Consider the following 8,552-nt stretch of genomic DNA (forward strand, 5'->3'; position numbering starts at 1 on the left):
CAGTGATAACCGGCTTGGGTCCGTTTCCGTGGTGTGGAGGGTTTGTGTTTTTGCTGTTTGCAGTAAATCTTGCTGCACACTCTTTGGGTCCACACTGCCTTTATGAGCTGTGACAACCACCAGGAAGGTCAGCAGCTTCACTCCTGAGGCCAGTGAGACCAGGAACCCACCGAGAGGAATGAATAACTCCAGACGTGCTGCCTTAAGAGCTGTAACACTCACCGCGAAGGTCTGCGGCTTCACTCCTGAAGCCAGCGAGACCACAAACCCACCAGAAGGAAGAAACTCCGAACACGTCCAAACATCAGAAAGAACAAACTCCGGACACACCATCTTTAAGAACGGTAACACTCACCACTAGGGTCTGCAGCTTCATTCTTGAAGTCAGTGAGACCAAGAACCCACCAATTCTGGACACATTAATAGAATAGTCCCAGTTCATCCTTCATATCTTTTGTAACATAACCATCAGGCATTTCACTTACCCACATGCTGTAATTGCCCAAAACATTTACTAATATTACTTTAAACAAACATGTAGTTTAAAAAGATTTAGAATAAGAAAAATAAAACATTTTTTTTCCTTTTTCAACATACTTGCTTTCTTATTGTAAATACAGTTTTCTGATCATATCATTCTTCTCCTCCATGAATAACCTCTTTTAACACATTTGCAGGAAAGTTTTCTGGCAATATATTCCGTTAGTGTTTTATCGTCTGGTAAATTCTGATTTCCCCTCTGCTTTTGAAGTATAATTTTGCTAGATGTAGAATTCTAAGTTGGTGCATTTATTCCTTTAACACTTTAAACATTTCCCGCAACTCTCTCCTTTCTTGCCTGGTTTCTTACTGGAAGTGGGCTGAAATCCTTGCTCTTTTTTCTCTACAAGGAATGTAGTTTTCATTCCAGATTCTGTCAAGATTTTCTCTTTGTCTATTTATTGATTTATTTTATTTTCTTCTACATATAGGAAATGCTATGTCTGGTGCTGTATTTTTGTTGTTTGTCATGAATTGTATTCTCTGAGCTTCCTGGACCGGTTGTTTGTTTCATGTCCTTATGCTTTAAAATTTCTTGATCATTACTCATTTAGATAGATTCTCCTCATTTCTCTCTTTCTCGTCTTTCTGCTATTCCAGTTTCCCATTTTGTTCAACTTTAGAGACTGCCCAGCGGGTCTTTGATGTCCTTCACTTTTTTTTTTCCGTTTATTTTTTCTTGGCACTTTGTTTTAAAATGTATTTTTGACCTATCTTTAGTTTCACCAATTCTTTCCCCAAACATGTCTGGTCTACTAATGAAACCATTGAAAGCATTTTTTAAAAATCTATTGGCGTTATTTTAATTTCTAGCCTTTTCTTTTGGTTCTTTGTTAGAATTTTCATCTCTCTGCTTATACTAATCATCTTTTATTGAATATTTTCTACATTTTCCACTAGTGTCCTTAACATCTTAATCATAGTTATGTAAAATTTCTTGATTGCTATTTCCAAAATATGCATCATCATCACTGAGTCTTGTTCTGATGATCATCCTGTCTCTTCAGATTGTTAATTTTTTTCTTGTCTTTTACCATGTTTTGTAATTTTGTTGCCATTGTTGAGAGCCAGACATGTGGTATCCATAATAGATATTGAGATAAATTGATGCTGAGATAAATTGATACTGAGATAAAGTTAATTGAGGATATATGTTAATCTGTCTTGGAGTTGAACTGCATTTAATATTTGTTATAGCTCAAGTTTCTGAAGGTTTCAAATTCCTCTAGTGTCCTTGTTTTTGTCTCCTCCCTTAACTTTAGGTTTCCTTAAGTACTCATCTTCAAACAGTGTCTGTTTCTTATAGCTCTTTTGTCTGTCTCCTTATATTGGAGTCATGTTGGTTTAAATTTTATGGTATGAGCAGAGAAATATGTTCTATAGTGCTCTGATTGAATATCCGCCTTTCAGTGGGCCTATGTCTTAGGTTATGACTTTTACGAGTGTTTTGCCAGTAGTTTATCTTTTGTCCCTATTACAGGACTGCCAGATTCATATGCCCACTGAGCAGCAATAGACCAATACACTGAGACATCATAATTTGCAGCAGAAAAAGAGTTTAATAATCACAATGCCATTGGGCAAAGAGATGAAGGAATCCTCAAGCTTCAAATCTGTCTGCTTGAGGGGTTCTGGGCCAGGGTTTTTAAGGGGATTGTGGCGGGTGAGGTTCTGGAGAATTGGGGTTGTCAATTGGTCAGGTCAAGGAAGATTAAATCATCACGATGTGAAAACTGCATTCTTCTGTGAGTCGGCTCCTTGCTGGGACCTTCAGATCAACTGGCATCAACAATTTTATCAGTATGTGTAACATAAAGGAGAAACTCAAACAGAAAGCATATCATCTCACGTGCCTTAGATCTTATCTATAGAAAAGAAAAGGAACACAGTCTTGTGACAAGGGCTACACTATCTTGTGGGAGTAAGAAGTAACTAGCTACAAGGAAGTAGGCCAAATTGGGATGTGGATTTCATGATTGCCACTGATTATTCTGCAAGCCTAGTTGAATTTTATTTTCTCCCTTAATTGGTTTATAAACTTTTCTTTGGGACAGTTTCATCCTTTATCCCCTTTAGATGAGAAAAGAAGGTTAAATGAGGAGGTGCCAAGATGGCCAATTAGAAGCAGCTGTGGTCTGTGACTCCCATCTAGAAGAACAAAAATGGCGAGTGAATTCTGCACCTTCATCTGAGGTATCCAGATTCTCTCACTGGGACTGACAAGGTGATTGGCCTGACCCACAGGGAGCAAGGAAAAGCAGGGTGGAGCAATGCCTCACTTGGGAGTTGCATGGGGCAAGGGGCACTCCCACCCCCAGTCAAGGGAGGCAGTGAGTGATTGTGCTCCCTTTCCTGAGGAACCATGCTTTTTCTATGGATCTGTGCAACTCACAGATCAAGAGATCCCCTTGTGAGCCCACCCACCAGGGCCTTGGGTGCCAAGCACAGAGCTGTGCAGACTCTCATCGCCACTCAGGCTGTGGCCAGTGACAGCAGACTGGAGACTGTCTAAGATGACTGAGTTCCCAGGGGAAGGGGTGGTTGCTATCACTGTGGCATCAGTTGGCTGTTTTCCCCTGGTGGTGCTGGGGAGACAGGGAGGTTTAGACCGGGAGCACAGCAGCTGTGGCAGATCATGGCCAGACTGCTTTTTTAGGCGGAACCTGGATCCATCCCTACTCATTGGGTGGGGCCCCCTTGTGGGAATTTCACCAACTCCAGCCAGAGGTTTATGGACAGAACTCTGATCTTCCTGGGCAGAACTCCTGTGGGGAGGGACAGCCACAGTCTCTGCGGTTCAGCAGACTTAGTCTTTCCTGCCTGCTGGCTCTGAAGGGTCTGGACATTCTGGACAAGGGAGATTCCCTCCAGTGCAGTGCACCCTCTCTGCCAAGGGGCAGCCAGAGTGCTTTGTTAAGTGGTCCCCGATCCTGTACATACTCCCTAACTGATTGAGACCACCAACAGGGGTCTCCAGGCACCTTATACAGGAGTGTTCCTGCTGGCATCACATCAGTGCCCCTCTGGGATGGAGCTCAAAGAAGAAGGAGCTGGCAGCCATCCTTGCTGTTCTGCAGCTTCCACTGGTGACACCTCCAGGTAGGGGAGGGACCAAGTGAATAGGGTCTGGAGTGGACCCCCAGCAAACTGCGGCAGCCCTAAGGAAGAGGGGTCTGACTGTTGAAAGAAAAACAAACAAACAGAAAACAACAACAACAAAAACATCCACAAAAATGGCCCCACAAAAACCCCTTCCAAAGATCAGCAGCCTCAAAGATCGAAGATAGATAAGCTCATGAAAATGAGAAAGAATCAATGCAAAAATGCTGAAAACTCAAAAAGCCAGAATGCCTCTTCTCCTCCAAATGATTGCAACACCTCTCCAGCAAGGGCACAGAACTGGGTGGAGGCTTGAGGTGGATGAACTGACAGAAGTATTCTTCAGAAGGTGGGTAATAACAAATTTTGCTGAGTTAAAGTATATTCTAAAACAATTCAAAGAAGCTAATAACCATGAAAACATTATAGGAACTGTAAACCAGAATAACCAGTTTATAGAGGAACATAAATGACCTGATGGACCTGAAAAACACAACACCAGAACTTCACAATGCAACCACAAGCATAAATAACTGAATAGACCAAGCAGAGGAAAGAATCTCAGAGCTCAAAGGCTATCTTGCTGAAATAAGACAGGCAGATAAGATTAGAGAAAAAACTGAAAAGGAATGAAAAATAATCAGAGAACTATGGAATTATGTAAAAAGACCAAACCTACAACTGATTGGTGTACCGGAAAGAAATGAGGAGAATGAAACCAAGTTGGAAAACATACTTCAGGAAATCATTCAGGAGAATTTCCCCAACCCAGCAAGACAGGCCAACATTCAAATTCAGGAAATTCAGAGGACTTCACTAAGATCCATGAGAAGATCAACCCAAAACACATAATCGTCAGTATCTCCAAGGTCAAAATGAAGGAAAATTGTTAAGAGCCATGTCACCTAGAAAAGGAAGTCCATCAGAATAACAGTGGACTCCTCAGCAGAAAACCCATAAGCCAGAAGAAATTGGGGGCTAATATTCAACAGTCTTTTTTTTTTATACTTTAAGTTTTAGGGTACATGTGTACATTGTGCAGGTTAGTTACATATGTATACATGTGCCACGCTGGTGCGCTGCACCCACTAACTCGTCATCTAGCATTAGGTATATCTCCCATTGCTATCCCTCCCGCCCTCCCCCCACCCCACAACAGTCCCCAAAGTGTGATATTCCCCTTCCTGTGTCCATGTGTTCTCATTGTTCAATTCCCACCTATGAGTGAGAATATGCGGTGTTTGGTTTTTTGTTCTTGCGATAGTTTACTGAGAATGATGATTTCCAATTTCATCCATGTCCCTACAAAGGACATGAACTCATCATTTTTTATGGCTGCATAGTATTCCATGGTGTATATGTGCCACATTTTCTGAATCCAGTCTATCATTTTTGGACATTTGGGTTGGTTCCAAGTCTTTGCTATTGTGAATAATGCCACAATAAACATACGTGTGCATGTGTCTTTATAGCAGCATGATTTATAGTCCTTTGGGTATATACCCAGTAATGGAATGGCTGGGTCAAATGGTATTTCCAGTTCTAGATCCCTGAGGAATCGCCACACTGACTTCCACAATGGTTGAACTAGTTTACAGTCCCACCAACAGTGTAAAAGTGTTCCTATTTCTCCACATCCTCTCCAGCACCTGTTGTTTCCTGACTTTTTAATGATTGCCATTCTAACTGGTGTGAGATGGTATCTCATTGTGGTTTTGATTTGCATTTCTCTGATGGCCAGTGATGATGAGCATTTTTTCATGTGTTTTTTGGCTGCATAAATGTCTTCTTTTGAGAAGTGTCTGTTCATGTCCTCCGCCCACTTTTTGATGGGGTTGTTTGTTTTTTTCTTGTCAATTTGTTTGAGTTCATTGTAGATTCTGGATATTAGCCCTTTGTCAGATGAGTAGGTTGCAAAAATTTTCTCCCATTTTGTAGGTTGCCTGTTCACTCTGATGGTAGTTTCTTTTGCTGTGCAGAAGCTCTTTAGTTTAATTAGATCCCATTTGTCAATTTTGTCTTTTGTTGCCATTGCTTTAACTCATTTTATGAGGCCAGCATCATTCTGATACCAAAGCCGGGCAGAGACACAACAAAAAAAGAGAATTTTAGACCAATATCCTTGATGAACATTGATGCAAAAATCCTCAATAAAATACTGGCAAAACGAATCCAGGAGCACATCAAAAAGCTTATCCACCATGATCAAGTGGGCTTCATCACTGGGATGCAAGGCTGGTTCAATATACGCAAATCAATAAATGTATTCCAGCATATAAACAGAGCCAAAGACAAAAACCACATGATTATCTCAATAGATGCAGAAAAAGCCTTTGACAGAATTCAACAACCCTTCATGCTAAAAACTCTCAATACATTAGGTATTGATGGGACATATTTCAAAATAATAAGAGCTATCTATGACAAACCCACAGCCAATATCATACTGAATGGGCAAAAACTGGAAGCATTCCCTTTGAAAACTGGCACAAGACAGGGATGCCCTCTCTCACCACTCCTATTCAACACAGTTTTGGAAGTTCTGGCCAGGGCAATTAGGCAGGAGAAGGAAATAAAGGGTATTCAATTAGGAAAAGAGGAAGTCAAATTGTCTCTGTTTGCAGACGACATGATTGTATATCTAGAAAACCCCATTGTCTCAGCCCAAAATCTCCTTAAGCTGATAAGCAACTTCAGCAAAGTCTCAGAATATAAAATCAATGTACAAAAATCACAAGCATTGTTATACACCAACAACACACAAACAGAGAGCCAAATCATGAGTGAACTCCCATTCACAATTGCTTCAAAGAGAATAAAATACCTAGGAATCCAACTTACAAGGGATGTGAAGGACCTCTTCAAGGAGAACTACAAACCACTGCTCAAGGAAATAAAAGAGGATACAAACAAATGGAAGAACATTCCATGCTCATGGGTAGGAAGAATCAATATCGTGAAAATGGCCATACTGCCCAAGGTAATTTACAGATTCAATGCCATCCCCATCAAGCTACCAATGACTTTCTTCACAGAATTGGAAAAAACTACTTTAAAGTTCATATGGAACCAAAAAAGAGCCCACATCACCAAGTCAATCCTAAGCCAAAAGAACAAAGCTGGAGGCATCACACTACCTGACTTCAAACTATACTACAAGGCTACAGTAACCAAAACAGCATGGTACTGGTACCAAAACAGAGATATAGATCAATGGAACAGAACAGAGCCCTCAGAAATAACGCCGCATATCTACAACTATCTGATCTTTGACAAACCTGAGAAAAACAAGCAATGGGGAAAGGATTCCCTATTTAATAAATGGTGCTGGGAAAACTGGCTAGCCATATGTAGAAAGCTGAAACTGGATCACTTCCTTACACCTTATACAAAAATCAATTCAAGATGGATTAAAGAGTTAAACGTTATACCTAAAACCATAAAAACCCTAGAAGAAAACCTAGGCATTACCATTCAGGACATAGGCATGGGCAAGGACTTCATGTCAACAGTCTTAAAGAAAAGAATTTCCAGCTCAGAATTTCATATCTGGCCAAACTAAGCTTCATGAGCAAAGAAGAAATAAAATCCTTCTCAGACAAGCAAATACTGAGGGAATTCATCACAACCAAGCCTGCCTTGCAAGAGCTCGTAAAGGAATCACTGAATATGGAAGGGAAAAACCATTACTGGCCACTACAAAAACACAATAAAGTACACAGACCAATAATATTATGAAGCAACAACATTAACAAGTCTGCAAAATAACCAGATAGCGTCATAATCACAGGACCAAATTCACACATAAGAATATTAACCTTAAATGTAAATGGACTGAATGTCCCAAATAAAAGACATAGACTGGCAAACTGGATAGTCAAGACCCACCAGTGTGCTGTATTCAGGTGAACCATCTCATATGTAAAGACACACATAGGCTCAAAATACAGAGGGAGGAAAATTTACCAAGCAAACGGAAAGCAGGAAAAGGAGGGGTTGCAATTCTAGTGTTTGAGAAAACAGGCTTTAAATCAACAAAGATAAAAAAAGACAAAGAAGGGAATTACATAATGGTTAAGTATTCAGTTCATCAAGAAGAGGTAACTATCCTAAATACACATGCACCCAATTCTAGAGGACCCAGATTCATAAAACAAGTTCCTAGAGACCTACAAAGACATTTAGACTCTCACATAATAATAGTGGGAGGCTTTAACACCCCACTGTCAATATTAGACAAATTATCAAGACAGAAAGTTAACAAGGATATTCAGGACTCAAACAGCTATAGATCAAGTGGACCTGATAAATATCTACAGAACTCTCCATTCAAAAACAACAGAATATACATTCATCTTGGAGCTACATGGCACTTACTCTAAAATCGATCACATAATTGGAAGTAAAACACTCCTCTGCAAATGCAAAATAACTAAAATCTTGATAGTCTCTCAGACCACAGTACAATCAAATTAGAACTCAAAATTAAGAAACTCACTCAAAACCACACAACTACATAGAAATGTAACATCCTGCTTCTGAATGACTACTGGGTAAAAAATGAAATTAAGGCAGAAGTCAAGAAGTTATTTGAAACTAATGAGAACAAAGAGACAATGTCCCAGAATCTCTGGGATACAGCTAAAATAGCATTGAGGGAAATGTATAGCACTAAATATCCACATCAGAAATATCTCAAGTCAACATCCTAACATCACAGTTTAAAGAACCAAGAACAAACAAACCCCAAAGCTAGCAGAAGGCAAGGAATAAGTAAGATCAGAGCAAAACTAAAGGAGATTGAGACAGGAAAAACCCTTCAAAAAATCAACAAATCCAGGAACTGTTTTTTTGAAAAAAATTAACAAAATAGACTTTTAGCTACACTAATAAGAAAAGAGAGAAGATCAAAT

General features: G+C 39.9%; 1 long non-coding RNA gene across 1 annotated transcript; it reads right to left on the bottom strand.

Moving 5' to 3' along the window:
- Positions 1–2,076: 2,076 nt before the first annotated feature.
- On the bottom strand, positions 2,077–3,858 carry LOC105376067 (uncharacterized). Its single transcript, XR_929701.3, has 2 exons — positions 3,522–3,858; positions 2,077–2,319 (listed from the first exon to the last, which is right to left on the bottom strand). It is a non-coding gene; the product is annotated as an uncharacterized LOC105376067 (long non-coding RNA).
- Between the last annotated feature and the right edge of the window lie 4,694 nt (positions 3,859–8,552).

This window comes from Homo sapiens, chromosome 9, assembly GCF_000001405.40.
Source record: "Homo sapiens chromosome 9, GRCh38.p14 Primary Assembly".
In the NCBI taxonomy this organism is placed as follows: domain Eukaryota; kingdom Metazoa; phylum Chordata; class Mammalia; order Primates; family Hominidae; genus Homo; species Homo sapiens.